Below are 18,962 nucleotides of genomic sequence, written 5' to 3'. Positions count from 1 at the left end.
TCCTTATAGAGAACTTCTTTCATGTTAAAAACATTATATTAAAAAAAAAAACCAAGCTGAACCACTTTCTAAACATTTAAAAGTTTTAAAACACCCACTCACCTTAAAAAAAAAAAAAAGTAATAGCACACCAAAACTTCTGATGTCACTTTCCATGGATGTTGACGCATTTAGGTTGTCAGTTCTATTTCTGTTCACTTAACTGTAGCCTCCAATTTCCACTTATAGCATTTAGCTTGGAAATTTGGCATTGTTCAAACTTCAATGGCTGCAAAGCCATGTAAAACATGGTACAATAAAAATACGCCTGAAACTGCCACACCTTTTCTGGACAAATCTCGAGTTGGTTTTATAATGGTGAACACGCTGCTTTTTTTTTCCCCCTAGGGCTAAACTGTGGAATGAAGGATACAGAAACAGCTATCACATTGCTTAATAAAAACTATCATTTATACATTTGAATTCATCCTAATACATGACTATTTGTTTTTTCTATTTGCTAAATCGACATCTCTTAATTCTGTTGCTCTCTAGGGCAGCTAAGCAATCAATTTGAGCTTAAACAAATAAATGTTTATTGAGCAAGCTGAATTCTTATAGAGAGTCAAAGATGGCAACATTAGGATTCATTTAGTGCAAGCCATTCATTCTGCACTTCCTTTAGTGATGCTAACAGTCAAAACAAAAAAAGAAATAATAGAGTTCCTCTTCTAGGGGATGGGGGGGGTTTAGTTTTGTGGAAGGAGAGATTTGTAAGACAAATAATTGCAATTCAGTTTAACGTGCTGTTTTTAACAGAGGCGTGGAGGAGGGAATTTAACCCACTCATCTTGGACTTTAGAGAGTGTTTGACTTAAATTTTGAGGAACTGAGTTTAACAGGAAGATAAAGTGGGGAAGAGAATCTTTGACAGATGGGGCATCCTGAGTAAAGTTGTGGAAGCTAGGGAGAGTCCAGCTTATCTCAGGAGGAATAAGAAGTTGGACAGATTCTTGTACAGGAGAGGTTCAGGTATTGGCAGAAGAGGATAAAAAGGTAAGCAGGAATCACGCTGTGAAGGATATAGTCCGGCTTCCTTCTCTAGAGTCAAGACTGAGGCAGGTAATCTTGTTAAGAAGCAACTGACAGAGTCCAGGCATAACATGAGGAGGATTTGACTTAAGAAGGTGAAATCCAATTTGAATCACTTTTAATTTCAAGTCCCTCAGAAACATTCTAGAGTAGATGTTTTAAAGACAGTAGGAAATTTGGGTGTAAAGGGAGAGGTCACACCTAAAGATATGGATTCTCAATCAGCATGTTTGGAAGTCGAAGCACTGAGAATGAATGTGATCTCTTGATCTCTTCTTTAATCGTTTACAGATGGACCCTTGAAGGAAGAAAACATCGAAGGAGGAAAGAGAAGGCTTTGACATAAATTGAGAGGAACAAGGAGAAAGAGGTTCGTTGCTCTGGAAACCAAGGAAGAATCAAAGAGGAGAATGGAAGATGTCACATATCTAAGAATTCTTTATTGGATTGGGCAATTGAGGATTCACAGATGATCAGAGGAGCCAGAGACAAATCAGAGTGGTCAGTCTCTGCCTACCAAATTCAGAATCTCTTGACAGGGTTCTGGTTTGGGTATGACTACATTAGTAGCTAGGGTTATCCTACCGTGTAAAAATACTTAGATGATGATTATTTTTTTAATGCCAGTAGTCAATGAAGCATTCTTCAATGTCTTCTTCCTGAATTTCTCCCACCTTTTGATCTGAAATGAAACCTTAGGGGAACTCACCCAATTAGCCTCTATGCCACAGTCTAAGCCTCCAAATTCTAGCAATTAGGTATTTTATAGCAGCAAATGCAATTCGTTTACCCAAGATAGGTTACATAAGGTAGGCTAGAACATTCTGGTTTCAGTCACTTGTTGTCCTTTGGACTTAGCTGAGGAGCTTCTTGAGCCTATGCCCTGCCCCAGAGATTCTGATTCTGACTAATCAGTCCGGTTAAATTTGCACAGGGGTTAGGCCCAGTCATCGTTATTTTTTAGGATCTCAGAATACAGAAGGAGTTAAGAACCAGTAAGTGGAATATTCGAATGCATTATATCCTTGGTAGTCAAAGTGATCCACACAGCATAATTTGTGTCATTCACCTGCAGCTTGTTAGACATGCAGAATCCCAGGCACCACCCAGACCTACTGAATCTGAATCTGCATTTTAATGAAATTTTTAAAAATTTTGTAATTGTTTTCTATTAAAAAAAATTTTTAGGGAGGGGGTCTTTCTCTGTTGCCCAGGCTGGAGTGCAATGGTGCAATCATGGCTCACAGTAGCCTCAAACTCATGGGCTCAAGCGGTCCTCCTGCCTCACTCTCCTGAGGAGCTGGGACTACAGTCGTGTACTACTATTTTCAGCTAATTTTTTAGAAACAGTCTTTGTAAAGATGAGATCTGGCTATGTTGCCTGACTGGTCTAAGATTTAAACAAAGTTTAAAATCCTGCATTATATGTTAGACTTGACCAAAGTCTTGCCTTTGTATTGCCCTGAAGATAATTGGGCAGACCTGGCTAGACTCAACTTAAGTACCCTCTAAATTGCTAAAACACTAGTTTAAACCCTTGCTGCACCTTCCAAGCACCTTCAGACCTTTAACGATATATTGAAGCTCCGACTTTCCCCCTAGAGATTCTGATTTATTTGTTCAGGGGTGAGGAACAAGCATTAGTATTTTAAAAGCTCCCCCAGATGGATTCTATTGTGTAGCTAGGGAAAAAGATTCATTGTACTAAGAAGTCCTAAAGGGAAGCAGAAATCTAAATTCAATTTAAATATAATAGAATTTTTTAATATAATGAGAGCATAATGCTAGGAGTGTATTCATAATTGGAGCCTCAGCTGCTGTGCAGCAGGATGGTGTGAGGGCAATGTCTGAAGGTCTCACTGATGAATGAATGATGGCATATTCTTTAAGAAACATTCGAGGCCGGGCGCAGAGGCTCACTCCTGTAATCCCAGCACTTTGGGAGGCCAAGGCAGGCAGATCACGAGGTCAGGAGATTGAGACCATCCTGGCTAACGCAGTGAAACCCCATCTCTACTAAAAATACAAAAAATTAACCAGGTGTGGTGGCACACACCTGTAATCCCAGCTACTCTGGAGGCTGAGGCAGGAGAATCACTTGAACCTAGGAGGTGGAGGTTGCAGTGAGCCGAGATCGCACCACTACCCTCCAGCCTGGGTGACAGAGCAAGACTCTGTCTCAAAAAAAAAAAAAAAAAGAAACATTCAAGTTTTTAGTAAGCTCTTGCAAGAGTTTCAATCAATTAACTTAAAACACTTATAACAACAATTTTTAAAAGTTAGTAGAGACAGCACTAGGATAAAAACTTGTCTTATGTTAAAGTAGTTTGAGGGAGCAGGAAAGAGCAAGAAGTCGGAAGAGGTACTTTTCTCCTAGCGGGAAAGATCTGTAGGCCTACATTTGCTAAACCCTGAAACAGTGGTATTTTGCAAGACTGAAAGACTTTGTGTAGGTGTACGCAGAATGTCAAGGATGAGTCAAAGATTAATACCTAAATTATAGAGTATGAAATGGGAATTTCATGCCTCTGACTTGGAAAGTTGGAAAGAAGGAAATATTGACGGATTCTAAAGTACAGTTGACCATTGAACAACGTGGGGGTTAGGTGTTAGGGTTTCAACCCTGCGAAGTTGAAAATCTGTGTATAACTTTTGAATCCCCCAAAATGTAATTACTAATAGCCTACTGTTGACCAGAAGCCTTACCAATAACATAAACCATCAGTTAATACATATTTCCTACGTTATATGTATTATGTACTCTATTCTTACAATAAAGTAAGCTAGAGAAAGAAAATGTTATTTTAAAAATCTTAAGGGAGAGAAAATATATTTAATATTCATTAAGTAGAAAAGGATCACCATGAAGTTCTTCATCCTTATCATCTTCACATTGAGTGGCTGAGGAGGAGGAGAAAAAGGAGGCATTGGTCTTGCTGTCTCAAGGGTGACAGAGGCAGAGGAAACTCCATACATAAAGGGACCCTGGCAGTTTAAACTGTTGTTCAAGAATCAACATACTACGTATTATAGTTTAATCAAGTGGATTATAACCAACTTCAAGAACTATTCACAATAGCAAAGACTTGGAACCAACCCAAATGTCCAACAATGATAGACTGGATTAAGAAAATGTGGCACATATACACCATGGAATACTATGCAGCCATAAAAAATGATGAGTTCATGTCCTTTGTAGGGACATGGATGAAATTGGAAATCATCATTCTCAGTAAACTATCGCAAGGATGAAAAACCAAACACCACATGTTCTCACTCATAGATGGGAATTGAACAATGAGAACACATGGACACAGGAAGGGGAACATCACACTCTGGGGACTGTTGTGGGGTGGGGGGAGGCGGGAGGGATAGCATTAGGAGATATACCTAATGCTAAATGATGAGTTAATGGGTGCAGCACACCAGCATGGCACATGTATACATATGTAACTAACCTGCACATTGTGCACATGTACCCTAAAACTTAAAATATAATAAAAAAAAAGAATGGAGAAAGACTGAAGCCATGCATTTAAAAATAGTTTAAAATTTTAAACTATTTAAAAATAGTTCTGCCAAATTTCTCAAAGCTTATTTACTGGCAAGTTTTCCCAAATGCCCAAATCATGCTACAATTTAAGTACAGCAGTGATCCCGAAAGTGACCTTCTAGCAGAATGATTCTTTATGAAATGTGTATAGAATGTATTTTTGTATTCAATAACTACTGTTAAGTTTTCCAAACTGTCCTGGGTACCTAAGGATGGTATTAAATAATTGCAAGACATTCTCTCTGTACTTGAGAGACTTAAGCCTTTGTTCAATAAAAACAATTAGAGAGTTGTGTATTTAGGGAAAATATTCTATTTTCAAGATACAATAAAGCTACACTTAAATACAGAAAAACTGTAAAGTCATAAAGTTCAAGGTTTTAAAAATTAAATGACAGCAATAATACTGTTGATGATATGAGAATGCAAAATAGCTGTAGATGTTTTAATATACAACATTTTAAAGAAATTACACTTGGTTCTCCATATCCAGGGGTTCTGAATCAGTAGATTCAACCAACTGCAGATCAAAAATATTTGAAAAGAAAACCAAAAAGTAATAATACAACAATAAAAAATAATACAAATAAAATATCAATACAGTATAATAGCTACTTCCACAGCATTTATATTGTATTAGGTATTATAAGTAATCTAAAGATGATTCAAAATATAAGGGAGGATGTATGTAGGTTATATACGGATGCCATACTATTTTATATTAAGGGGTTGAGCATCCTGGATTTTGGTACCTGCAGGGGTCCTGGAACCAATCCTGGTGGATACTGAGGGATGACTATATTATGTAGCTATAGTACACAGAGTCAGTACTGGCCTGAGAAGTTGTAACACTTCATAATTCTCCTTTCTCTAAGATAGAGACATAATCACCTACTCACTCCAATTCTTGAATTAGGGTGGATAAAAATATTCTTGCCTTACCTTCTTACCTGAACGTGTTAATTTTGAAAATGAAAAAAAAAAAAAGACGTAGAAGGAGAGCAGTTTGCAATCCCATCTTTCCCCCACTTTCTGTTCTCTGTATTCTGTGATGGTGGTTACTTTCAGAAGTGAATAAGCTATTGGAGACTGAGGAGAGTTGAATTTATGATAGACTTTTAGAGAGTGCTCACCATGTGCTGCACTTTCAAATAAATTCATTTTATTTCATTCTTGAAAAGTTCTTTTGGGTGATATTATGCAACTTTGACAGATGAAGAGGAAAAATGGAAGCTCACAAAGATAAATTTACTTGTCTAAAATCACACAAAGGAAAATTTCAAACCCAGTTTTTAAAACTAAATTCCCTACAGGACATGACATTTGCTCCCTGGGTTGTAGAATATCAGTACACAATTGAAAATGCCATAGAGTGAATCTACTGTTAAAGGAGCCCTGGTGTGGTCCAGGGTTCTTACTTTGGCTACTTTCTTTGAGTCTTCAACCTCAAGGTTGAGGAATTAAGAATATGATCCCTGATTCAGATTCTGGCTCAGCTGTATACTAGCTCTGTGACCTTAGCAAGCCAGTTAACATTCATTATTGAACCTCTTTTTCCTATTTCATGAAAAAGAATTCATGATGCATAATGAATTCATTCCTACCTCCTATGGGTGTTGTGAGAATTAAACGTGTAAATTACATAAGTGCTTAGAACAGTGCCAGGCATGTGGTAAGCATTCAATACATGTTAGCTATTCTTATCGTCAGGACTCTAAAAGTCTGATTCCAAACCAACCAGCTCTTCTAAGCTGCAGGCTCATATATCCTACGTGCCGATGGTGAGGATGTTGACCTGGATAGTTGTGGACCTCTCAAAACTCATCATGCCCCAAATCGAACTCGATTTGGACATAAGATAATACAAAGCGTTCAGCACAGTGAATGATCAAGAAGGATGCAATAAATTTAGCTGTTATCACTATAGATTTCAAAACTTCTTTCTCCTGTATTCTTTTTTTGTAGAATCTGCTTTATTACCCAGAGGATACAATGAAGGAAGCTTGGGGTCATCCTAAATTCCTGAATTTTCTCTATTTTGCAAGATCCAGCCAATAATCAAGTCTAGTCACTTTTTCCTCCTCGTAAGTATCTTCTGTACCTTCGGTTCCCACTGCCTCATCGTTTTTTGTTCTGGGTATTTGAATAGGCTTCTCGTGGTCTCCAGAATCCAAGGAATGCTCTCTTCAATCCATTCTCTTCAATAATACAGGAATGAATCCTTAAAATTCAAATTGAGCATGTCATTGGCTTACCCTGAAGTCCTTCATTCACACCCATCTGCTTCCAGGAAGTGCCCCTCAGTCCTGTCTTTCTGTGATGTATGAGACCACCTCCTGCTGGAGGCTTACCTCTCAGATGTACCAGTCGTTGTGGCCACAGTGGCCTTCTGGAATTTTCTGTACACTCTCATTCCTGAGAGTCTTGCTTATGCTCTTTTTCAGATCTGGAATGGTTTTTCCCATCTCTGTAAAGAAACATTTTCATCTGAAAAATTGGGAAACACCATGATTATTTGACACATTTAAAAAATGCCAAGTATATGAAATTAAATTAGGTAGAATGATTTTTGGGGGGATCTAAAGAATTGCCAATTAGTGAATACACAGAATGCCCAGAAGAGAAGTTTTACAAAAATTGTTAGGGTAGAAACTGTTATTACTAACAATTTTCTGTGTAGAAACTAGTATAATCTTTTGGATGCTAAGGAAGCTGTAATCTGGAATTACAAACCAAAGACAAAACCAAACTTCAGACATTGCTGGTGCTACCACCATGGAGAAGGAGAGAGATTCATACGTAATTGAAATGAATCAGTCTCTTTCTATGGCTTAGGTGTCTTAATGGGGCGAGGTGTCAGTTTTTACACTGCTTACTGGCATTGTTTCAAACTACAAGGGCCTCTGTGCACCACCTGACCTGGGAACTTATCTCCTGGTACCCGGAGAGGGACAGATGACTTGGATTTGATCCTAAATGGGACTATTAGAGAAAAATGGCAGTTAATACATCAACAGAAAAAAGATTAATTGTTTAGTAATCTGGAAAGGGATAACTATGCCAACAATTTCAAGGAAGAGAAGAAGCTTTTCAGTAAGTGGTTAAGATAAATATTTTGCACACTAAAATTCTGCAAGTCATTTTCCTTGGGTCAAGCTGACTGTCTTTTACACACAGCTTGTCAATGTAAAAACTTAGGTCATTTAAAATGCATTTCCTTTTAGAATCTTCTATCTCAAACAATCCTAAATTTAAAAATCAGCCTAAAACCTTCAAAACAGGCAGATGTTTGCTCTGCCTAGCAACAGTGGTCTTTGGTGATTTCTTATTTCTCTGTGATGCAGTTCAGATTCCCTAGCATGACATTCAGAGGCCCCAGATTTTTCCCATTCAGCAATTGCCCTCCATCATCCTATTTCCACAAGCATCACCTCTTCTAGTCAGACCACACTTGCTGGCCTCTAATGATATTTTGCTTTCTGTCACCTCCTCATCCTTGTGCATAGTCTTCTTTCTGCCTAGTAAGTTCTTCTTTCCCTGTATAAGTCTCTTTTATCCTTCAATATTCTCACACCAACTCCTAAAGACTGACTTCATAGCCTTGTTATATTTCTTTCCCTGACACTCCCATAATGCCAGGTCCACGCTTCCATTGTAATCACAATGATGATAACAAGTATTTCCTCCTAGGCTATGAGCTTCTTTTCCTTATCCCCAGTTTCTAACACAGGGCCTCAAACATAATACTGTCTATAGATAAAATGAATAAAGTGTCATAGTATTTGCTGGTTGACTTTTAGGCTGTTCATAGTAAGTGCTATCTATAGAATGAATGAGTAAAGCATCACAGTACTTGCTAGGTATTTGACATTTAGTTGAATGGCTCCTACTAAGAACTGTCTAAATATATGGCTGGCTTTTAAAATGGTCCAGTTATAATTGTCATAAATCTACAATATGTCTGACACATTGTTTTGTATCTGTCATGTGTAATTTGTGCTCAATATCAGGATTTGAGTAAACCTCCTCTCCTCCACCTTCCATCTAGCCCATGCCCTGTGGATAAAATGAACTGTGTGTGAACTCCAAATGTCACTTTTGCTTTGACATCTAAATTGGTATAATATTCATTTATTCATCATCCATCATTCACTCATACATATTTATCGGGCACTTTCTTTTAGAATTGGGCACCAATTCTAAAATCAATTGTGTTCTGATTATGCATTGTATTACATCTTCTTCTGTGATATTATATTATACTTATTTGTGAATGTTTTTGCTTTTGTCCCCCGGTACAGTTCCTGATATACAGGCATTCAATAAATATTAGGTGAATAATTAAATTGAACAATTCATAATCCAATGGCTAAATTTGGTTATCTATTCACTAGTTTAAATTCCAGATTTAATTATCAAACTCAATAGGTAGCTTAGATTTATTTTCCAATTCAAATTCTCTGTTCACACATTATCTGAGATGACAAGAGGCCATATAATTAGGTTGGTGGCTTTCAAATATGTTTTTAAAGCACCAGAACTTTATTTTCAGATGTAGTTAAAATACAGAAGATTGTATAGAAAAAGTAAAAAAAAAAAAAGACACAGTTCTATCACCCAAAAGCAATGTTTGAATTCCAGTGATGTGTATATTACCTGCAGATCTACAGTTGTGTAAAACACCAGGATGCACCATTTACATAGAATTCAATGAATTCACCGTTTACATAGAATTCAACATCTAGAGTTGTCCAACCTGGTATCCCTCATTACCTTACTACCTTTTATGTATGTACATCTATGTATATAGCTCAGTGAACATAGCATTCTGCTTTTCTAGTTTTTATCAGTATGTTCCGTATTATTAAAGTCATTATACTAGTTAACCTTTTATTTAATTTACCATCGTTCTGATAAAAAAATTTATACATGTAGCATTTGTAGAGCTCCCAGAGAGAGGAGTTCATGCTTTCTGTTAGTTTTGCGTGGCTCCCATTAGGAACCTGGCATATAGAAGTATTTCATGTGACATCATGACCTATCAAAACAGTCTTGGTTCCCATGAATAAAATCATATCCATCTCTCATAGTGGATCTCAGAATAGGGAGTGAAAAGGTATAAAAACAAAACCTTACAGAACTACCTGCCAACAACATTCATTACAAGTTACATTTCAGTTAATATAATTCTTCTAGAAAATAGAGTTAAGAGCCAAAGACATCTTTGACTAGTGATACTAAGAATTCATCAGAAGGAACCTTTTCAGCAGTAGCAAAAATATGCTAATGGTCTTTATTACTTTATTATTTATAATAAAAGGCTGATGTACCCTTTCTCTACATCTATCTATCTATCTGTCTATCTACCTATCTATCTATATAAAATGAAAAACTCTGCATAGACTTAACAAACTTGCACATTCTGCACATGTATCCCAGAACTTAAAGTATAATAAAAAAAATTAAAAATTGAAAAAAGAAAAATGAATGTAAAAAAGTGAAACCACCAAAAACAACAGAAAATTTTATGAGACGATTTAATAAATCTGTAGGTGATGAAAACTTTTGATACGTCAAAACAACAGAAATAATAACTAATGACAATGCTAGAATATTTAGGGCTATATAAAAAACAAAAACTTCTATAAACAGGAAACATCTTACAGTGGGACACTAAGGATTAACATCCCTTCTATATAAGAACAATTGTAACTCAATAGAAGAATTGGCAAAGGGCATGAAACAAGCAGAAATACAAATGACTAGTAGCCAGTTAGTAAGTGGCTATTAAGTGACTAACAGAAGTGGGACTCAAGGACTGCCACCTAAGCCAGGATTCCTAGATTCATCTGTCCTAATGTGACTTATCCAAGCAGAAAAAAAATTGAATATTTTTTCATCATTGCATATAATGTTATTATAACTATATGAAGTTATAATATATGAAATTTTTTAGATCAGTGCATATAATGTTATAACTGTATGAAAAATGTAAGTGGCTAATAGAAGTGACTTTAACAAATGGAAATCTCTACTCTATGCCTCTCTTTCTCTTTTTCCAGTGACTGTCTTAATAGTTTTGACAGTCATGCATAAACCCATTTGCCTTTAGCCCTATATCCAATATAAATTCGTTTGTCCCAGATCTTGGTGCAGATTTTCCTGTGCTTTGTGAGTCCTTCCCCATCTCTCCACCAGCATTGTATACAAGAATGCATACATAACTTTCCCTCCTTAGCCTGCTGCCTGCGCCATCTTTGGGGAGCCCAAGGTCCAGCTATTTGGGGCCAGCAGTCCTTCTAGTAGTCAATGTCACTTGTCCAACTTTCTGAGTAATCTCATCAGAGGACTGAAAGTAAGAAGGACTCATGGACTGCCTCCCAAGCCAGGATTCCTAGATTCCTCTATCCGAATATGACTGATACAAGCAGGAAAAAAAAATTGAAAAATATGATGCTTGTGATGTTATTATAACTATATGAAAAATATATTTTCATGAAGAAGAATATATACATAAAGGAAAACAGCCATGCCACAATGACAGAGTTATAAGTTATTTATATATAGTTTACTGTAAAACAATATTTTTTAAGTTGGATGCTTTTAACTTTTAATAGAAAGTTAAGAAACGTATTCACAGGTGTAGCATCACATAATAAACTTGAACTTCCAAGGGGTGGATGTAGCCTGCCCCTTTCTGAGGCTCACTAAGCCCCCTCTCCTGTTCATCTCTTCATCCTGAGCTTAAAAAAAACTCTCCTTGAAGGGCAAGGTAATGAGAGAGCTAGCCATTCTGGTCCAGTACATCTTAAGATATTTTAAGCCATAAAATCAAGTTATTCAAAATCTTTAAATAGTGCCAAGAGACATCAGGAGGAAACTAATGAACTATTGGTGAGAAATTTATTTTATTCTGTATTTTACTTTAGATGTCAGGTAAACAGTAAAAACAAGTATTTGGGGTAACTTGTGAATAAATGATTTTTTTTTGTTTGAAAAATTGACATAAGCTGCTGAGAGGTTTTTGCTTGTTAATTCCATGAGTAACCTTACAAAACTGTGCTTCACAAGTTGATGGATTCTCTATATTTTCTGATTGTTCAGTTCATGACTGAGAGAGGACATATATGCAATTCTTCTCCACACATTTATTTCTCCCAAAAGGGTTATTTCAAAGACATATGTCATAGTAATTCTTTGAACAATATGGTGATTATTTTGTTTCCCCTCAGAAAGACCCACCAAATATGCAATTTTGAAAATGTTAGTCTAGACCCTAGCCTGGGAAGAACTTGTACAAACCTCTTTCTCTTATGGAATCTGGGGTGAATCTACCCATCTGTTTCAGTAAAATTTTTTGAGAGGAACAGGATCTAGAAATATCCAGTTAATAAATTTTCTAACTTCTAAAATTAAAGGAACAGGTTTTTACTTCATTTAAATGGGTAGACACTCTCATTTAAAAAAAAAAAAAAACCTGATAGCATTATCTTTTCCCATGTGTAGAGAACAGTATATTTAAACTTTGTATTTGAACAGTCTTACCATTGTAAGGATGAAGATGTCTCTGGTGGTCATATTTTTACTCATTTTTAAGCCTTTATAGTGCATCTTGCCATTGATTGAATCATTGCTATAACAAGCTGTAAAGAGGTAACGGTGAAAATTTTGAGAGATCAGAAGGAAGAAAAGCCCACTTTTCAGTGAAAGAGCATTGCATCTATCTTGATTATTGGTCTCTTTGGGGCATTGTGATAGAAAACCATGAAAGCAATGCTGTTCTGTACTTACAGAGACCAGGTTTATAACCTGAATATTTCACCATTTGTTGTAAGATTTCATCTTTCCACAAACAGGTTTTAAATTTGAGCCATGACTAAGCAAACAGTTTTACAAACAATTTGCAGGTGAAACACGTTTTATGCCTTAGTTTCAAAAGAGCCCAAAAGCTCATTCTATGCAAACTGACAAGGGAAACTCAGAAGCAGTACCAAAACTGGGCATACTCACTTGGGCATTAATGGATGTTAAGTGCCTTACTATGTTCTGAACCACTCTCTCCCCAATAACAGTGAGTGGGGGGACCCTCCTGCATGATTGATGCTCTCCTCCTCCCAGTCTCTCTCCCACATACAAAGGAGGAGGCTTATGGGCTCACACAGTCCGCTTAAACCTCTCCTTTGCATATCCTAAGACTCAGTGTTCCATATGCTCCAAGCTTGTGCTTACTCCTTTTTTCGTTGATTTTCAGAAGTGGAAGTGACCAATATAGAGATTAATTTCCTTGCTGATAAAATGATAAAACCAAGTCTTTCTTCCCCCAACTCAACCAATACAGAAAACGGACATCAAAACCCATCTACCCCCTTTTCCTCCTTTTACAGTGGTGAAAGGAATTCTCCTCCAATCTCAGGTTTTTCCTTCCACATGAACTCTAAATCCTATTATCTTTCATCTCCTCACTGACCGCAATCCATCAGTCATTCCTCTTCTCTCCCTTAACTTTCTATTTTGATGTTATTTCAAACCTATAAAGCTGGTGCAGCCATAGTACAAGAAAATCCCATTTACCCAAATTCACCAATTATTTTCATTTTGCCTCATCTACTTTAGCACCCCCTCTCTCTCCATGAGGAATTATTTCAGATCCATTGGCAGAGACAGTTTAGCTCTTAACTCCTAAATACTTCAGGTTTCTTTTCTAAGAACAATGAAATTCTCCTCCATAACCATAGGGCAATGATCAAAATCACAAAGTTTAACATTGACATAACGCTATTACTTAATCCAGCGTTCATATTTAAATTCCATCAGTTTTCCTATTACTGTCCTTTATAGTTATTTTATTTATTAAAGAAAACATTTATTATAGGTTTAGGGATCATGTGAAGGTTTGTTATATAGGTAAAGTCATGCCACAGGGATTTGTTGTACAGATTATTTTATCACTCAGGCACTAAGCTGAATACCCAATAGTTACTTTTTTCTGCTCCTCTCTCTCCTCCTACCCTCCAGCCTCAAGTAGGCCAGAGTGCTTGTTTATGTCTCACTTTGTGTCTCACTTTGTGTCTATGAGTTATCATCATTTAGTTCACATTTATAAGTGAGAACATTAGGTATTTGGTTTTATCTTTCTATGTTAGTTTGCTAAGGATGATGGCCTCCAGCTCCATTCATGTCCCTGCAAAGGACATGATCTCATTCTTTTTTATGGCTGCATAGTATTCCATGGTGTATATGTACCACATTTTCTTTATCAAATTTGCCATTGATGAACATTTAAGTTGATTCCATGTCTTTGCTATTGTGAATAGTGCTGCAATGCATATACATATGCATGTGTCTTTATGATGAAATGATTTATATTCCTTTGGGTATATACCCAGTAATGGGATTGCTGGGTTGAATGGTAGTTCTGCTTTTAGCTCTTTGAGGAATTACCACACCTTTATAGTTATTTCCTTTTCTTGCTGTAGGATCCAGTCTGGGAGGACTCTTGCATTTAATTGTCATATAGCTTTAGTTTCCTTAATCTGAAATAGTTCCTCAATGGTTCTTCACCTTTTCTTTTGTGTTTCTTGACTTTAACAATTTTATAGAGTAAATACCAATTAATTTTTAGAATGTCCTTTAATTTGGGTTTGTCTGTGGCTTCTTCATGATCTGAATTTAAGTTTTTCATTTTTGGCAGGGATATCACCAGTATAATTTTGCATCTCTTTCAGTATATTTTACAGAAGATACTTGATACTGGTTTGCTCCAGTCCAATATTGGTAATATTCACTTGGTTAAAGTGATGTCTGCCATATTACTATACTGTAAAGTTATTATTTTTCCCATTGTAATTAATAAGGTATTGTTGGGGGATAATTTGAGACTATATTAATATTCTGTTCTTCATTAATCTTTCACTCACTACCTTCCAACTCTACCATTCCTTCCACATTTATTAGTTGACATTTTACTAGAAGGAAGAGCTTTCCCTTCTCCTCCTCTATTGAGTGAATGAATGAATGACATTACCATAGACTCATGGGTTTTACTTTTTTAAAAAATGGATTATCTAGTTCTATGATAATTAATTTTAGTTGTCAAATTTCTTAAGTTTTGGCCATTGAGTCTCTCCCCTATATCCTTTTACCTCTCTCTGCTGGCTGCTTCCCGCAGCATTTAAACACTTCTCTCTCCTTTCTAGACGTAACTCTCTATGTATTGCCATATCTCTCAGTTTCCTTCACAGCTCTATTTCTTGAAAGAGTTATCTATACTTGTGCTTTCCTCTTTCTCCTTTCCCATTCACACTTCACCCTACTTATGTCTGTTTTACAGCTATATTGCTCCACCAAAACTGACCCAAATCACCAAAACCAAAACTGATCAAAACCATGAAAAAAAATGACCACTCAGTCACTAGTTGAGTAGATATAGAAACATTCTTTTTGATAACAACTTCTCCCACCTCTCTCTGTTTTAATATTTACATTATCAAATAAAAACAGGCTGGGCATAGTGACACAAACCTGTAGTCCCAGTTACTGGGGAGCCTGAGGCTGGAGGATCCCTTGAGCCCAGGAGTTAGAGGGTGCAGTGACCTATGGTCATGCCACTGCCTTCTGGCCTGGGTGACAGAGCAAGACCTTGTCTCTACAAAAATAAAATAAAATAAAAACAGATACAGAAAATCGCAGAGAATAAGCGTATAACAGTGATTATTACAAATTAGACATCCTGGTAAACATCACTCAGGCCAAGAAATAGAACTATGCCTGCCACCCCAGAAGATTTTTCTTCCACAAGTAGCCACTAACCTGACATTCTTTGTTTTTGTCCCACATATTTCTAAGCATCCATCTTGACGTTTCTGTAAGGTTTTGTCACTCATGTATGTATCCCTAGATACTATAGCTTAGTCTTGCCCACTAAAAAAAAAAAATCAATATATCGTTTAGGTCTCTTTTCATCTTCAGACTATTCATCGCTTTCATCTTTTCCACGCCTTTCTATCCTTAACAATTTCACTGTGGAAGAACTGGGGCCCCTTTATTATAGAGTTTTCTCACAATGTGAATTTTGCTAATTGCATATTCCTGGTGCAGTTTAGCATGTTACTCTGTCCTCCTTATTTCCTGCAAATTGCCAGCTGGGCCTAAAACACTTGGTCAGACTTGGGTGTGATTTCTTTGGCAAGACCATAGGTGGTGGTGTGTTCTTTCATCAGGATGCATATTATGTCTGGTTGTTTATCTTTTTGTACTATTAACAGCCATTGATTCTCAACACCTATATCCATTAGATCACTGGGGTCTGCAACATGGTTATATTCTAATCTGTCATTTCTTTTTATTTATTAGTTTGAAACGTTTTTAAAAGAGACACTTTTGCCCATCTGTTTGGTTAGTGGAGGAAAAGCTGGATAAATCCTTGATTCATTTCTTTATAAGTTTTCAAGGTAATGACTTAGTTCTCTGTTGTCTTCTGAAGATAATCAACTGCTTGAAAAAATATTATTATGAACCCATGAATTTAAACATATTTAGTTTCAATATGTTATAAATCTTATATTTATTGAATATCAAGTTGCTCCACCTCTGACTAGTTTGAGCCTTCTTAGGTTAGATCCTGAGTCTTTTTAACATGGCTAGTGGTCTTTAATTTCTTTCTTGCTATCTGGTAGACCAAGATATTCCAGGAACATCTTGTATATTTCCTGCTCCATACCTGAAGCCCAGCATTTTCCCAACAAGCTCTGGATTTTTATTTCTTACTTTTTTTAGAGAAAGGGTCTCCCTCTGTTACCCAGGCTGGAGTGCAATTATGTGAGCATAGCTCACTGCAGCCTCAACTTCTTGGGTTCAATTAATCCTCCCACCTCAGCCTCCCGAGTAGCTGGTACTACAAGTGTGTGCTACCATGCCTGGCTAATTTTTTTTTTTTTAATTTTAGTAGAGATGGGGGTCTTGCTATGCTGTCCAAAATGGTCTTGAACTCCTGAGCTCAAGTCATCTTCCCATCTCAGCCTTCCAAAGTGCTGGGATTACAAGCAAGAGCCACCATGCCTGGGCTGGTTTCTTTTCTTTTCTTTTCTTTTCTTTCTTTCTTTCTTTTTTTTTTTTTTTTTTTTTTTTTTTTTGACAGAATCTAGCTCTGTCGCCCAGGCTGGAGTACAGTGGCCCGATCTCAGCTCACTGCAACCTCCACCTCCCAGGTTAAAGCAATTCTCCTGTCTCAGCCTCCTGAGTTGCTGCGACTACAGGAACATACCACAATGCCAGGCTAATTTTTTTGTATTTTTAGTAGAGATGGGGTTTTACCATATTGGTCAGGCTGGTCTCAAACTCCTGACTTCAGGTGATCTGCCCGCCTCGGCCTCCCAACGTGTGGGATTACAGGTGTGAGCCACTGCGCTGAGCCAGTCTGGTTTCTCTTTAATGGGAACTAATATTTCGAGTGCTAATATAACCTAGTACTATAGATGCTCTGTGTTACTGGGTTGGTCACTGTTTTCAGGCCTTTTTTTTGAGATGGAGTCTTGCTCTGTCGCCCAGGCTGGAGTGCAGTGGCGCAATCTCGGCTCACTGCAACCTCTGCCTTCTGGTTTCAAGTGATTCTCCTGCCTCAGCCTCCCAGGTAGCTGAGATTACAGACATGCACCACCATGCCCCGCTAATTTTTATATTTTTAGTAGAGATGGGGTTTCACCATTTGGCCAGGCTGGTCTCAAACTCCTGACCTAAAGTGACCCGCCTGCCTCAGCCTCCCAAAGTGCTGGGATTACAGGCATCAGGCCTATATTGATGAAAGGAATTATATATATATAGTATTAAGTATATACATAGATGTGTATATATAGGTGAGTTTAAATATGTATATATATGGGTGTGTGTGTGTATATATATATACACACACCTCAATGCTTTATCCAAGTGATTCTCAATTAGGACTGAGTTTCCTCCTAAGGGGATGTTTAGCAATTTTTAGATACTGTATTAGTCCCTTTATATAAATATATCCCTTTAGTCCCATATATATATATATATTTATATATATATATGCCTTTATATATAAAGATATATATATGCCTTTATATATATATATAGATATATAGATACATAGATATAAAGCTGATTTTATTAAGTATTAATTTACACAATCACAAGGTCCCAGAATAGGCTGTCTGCAAGCTGAGGAGCAACGAAAGCCAGTCCGAGTCCCAAAACTTGGAGTCTGATGTTCGAGGGCAGGAAGCATCCAGCACGGGAGAAAGATGTAGGCTGGGAGGCTGGACCCATCTCATCATTTCACATTTTTCTGCCTGCTTTATATTCACTGGTGGCTGATTAGATGGTGCCCACCTGCTTAAGGGTGGGCCTGCCTTCCCCAGCCCACTGACTCAAACGTTGATCTCCTTTGGCAACCCCCTCACAGACACACCCAGGATCAATACTGCATTCTTCAATCAAGTTGCACTCAGTGTTAACCATCACAGACACATTTGAGGTTGTCACAACTGTGTGGAGGTGATGTTACTGGTGTCTAGGAGGTAGGGGCCAGGGTTGCCACTAGACATCCTAAATGCACAGGACAACCTCCCACCACAAAATGTTAATCATGGTTGGTGGGATATATGCCTGTAGTCCTAGCTACTCGGGAGGCTGAAGTGGGAGGATTGCTTGAGCTCAGGTCTAGGCTGCAGTGAACTATGGTCCATCACACTCCTGCATTCCAGCCTGAGTGACAGAGGGGGACCCTGTCTCTGAAAAAAAAAAGTCATGCCAAGATAGAGAACCCCTACTATCCCATAGTATACACATATAATAGTCTCAGAGTAATAATATTGATGCTACAACCATTAGTGAGTGATGTTTACCAGGATGTCTAATTTATAATTATAATTACCAGGATGTCTAATTTATAATTATCACCAAAGCAGTTTAAAGATGTTTTAATAGGCCAATCTGCCCATCCCCATCCCATAATGACTGTATCATGTCTACATTTTCAAATCATACTGCTATTACATACTAAACACCCTCTCTCTTTTAACTCCATTTTGGTTCTACAAGTTGCTGTATATTTCGTGCTGTATATTTCACTCGTCCTTATGTCAATGTCTCTGCAGTCATCTTTGTTCTTCAAAGCTTGCTTTCTATTATTTTGGAAGAAATCATAAGAGCACTGTTTCCTTAGTCCTTTGCTAGTGATCACAGTTTTTCTGTGCCCTTTGTCCTTGATGGTCTGTTTTGCTAGATATAAAATCTCTCGTTCACAGTCATTTTATCTGAAAATCTAAAGTATTTTATTCCTTATTTATCTGGTAAAATGCATTGCTGCCAACAA

At 37.2% G+C, this 18,962-nt stretch overlaps 1 long non-coding RNA gene across 2 annotated transcripts in view; it reads left to right on the top strand.

The window, feature by feature from the left end:
• LOC107984015 (uncharacterized) overlaps positions 1 to 6,730 on the top strand; it is a 49,066-nt gene extending 42,336 nt beyond the window's left edge. Inside the window, exons 2-3 of one of the 2 annotated variants that reach the window (XR_001743980.1) lie at positions 1,363 to 1,441; positions 6,590 to 6,730. This is a non-coding gene — a long non-coding RNA (uncharacterized LOC107984015). Of the gene's footprint in view, positions 1 to 1,362; positions 1,573 to 6,589 lie in introns of both variants that reach the window. The other variant, XR_001743981.1, reaches the window with a different exon arrangement.
• Positions 6,731 to 18,962: the final 12,232 nt, after the last annotated feature.

Source organism: Homo sapiens, chromosome 6 (assembly GCF_000001405.40).
Source record: "Homo sapiens chromosome 6, GRCh38.p14 Primary Assembly".
Taxonomy (NCBI): Eukaryota; Metazoa; Chordata; class Mammalia; order Primates; family Hominidae; genus Homo; species Homo sapiens.
The sequence above is the reverse complement of the archived record's forward strand: the minus strand, read 5'-3'. Positions and strand labels throughout refer to the sequence as shown.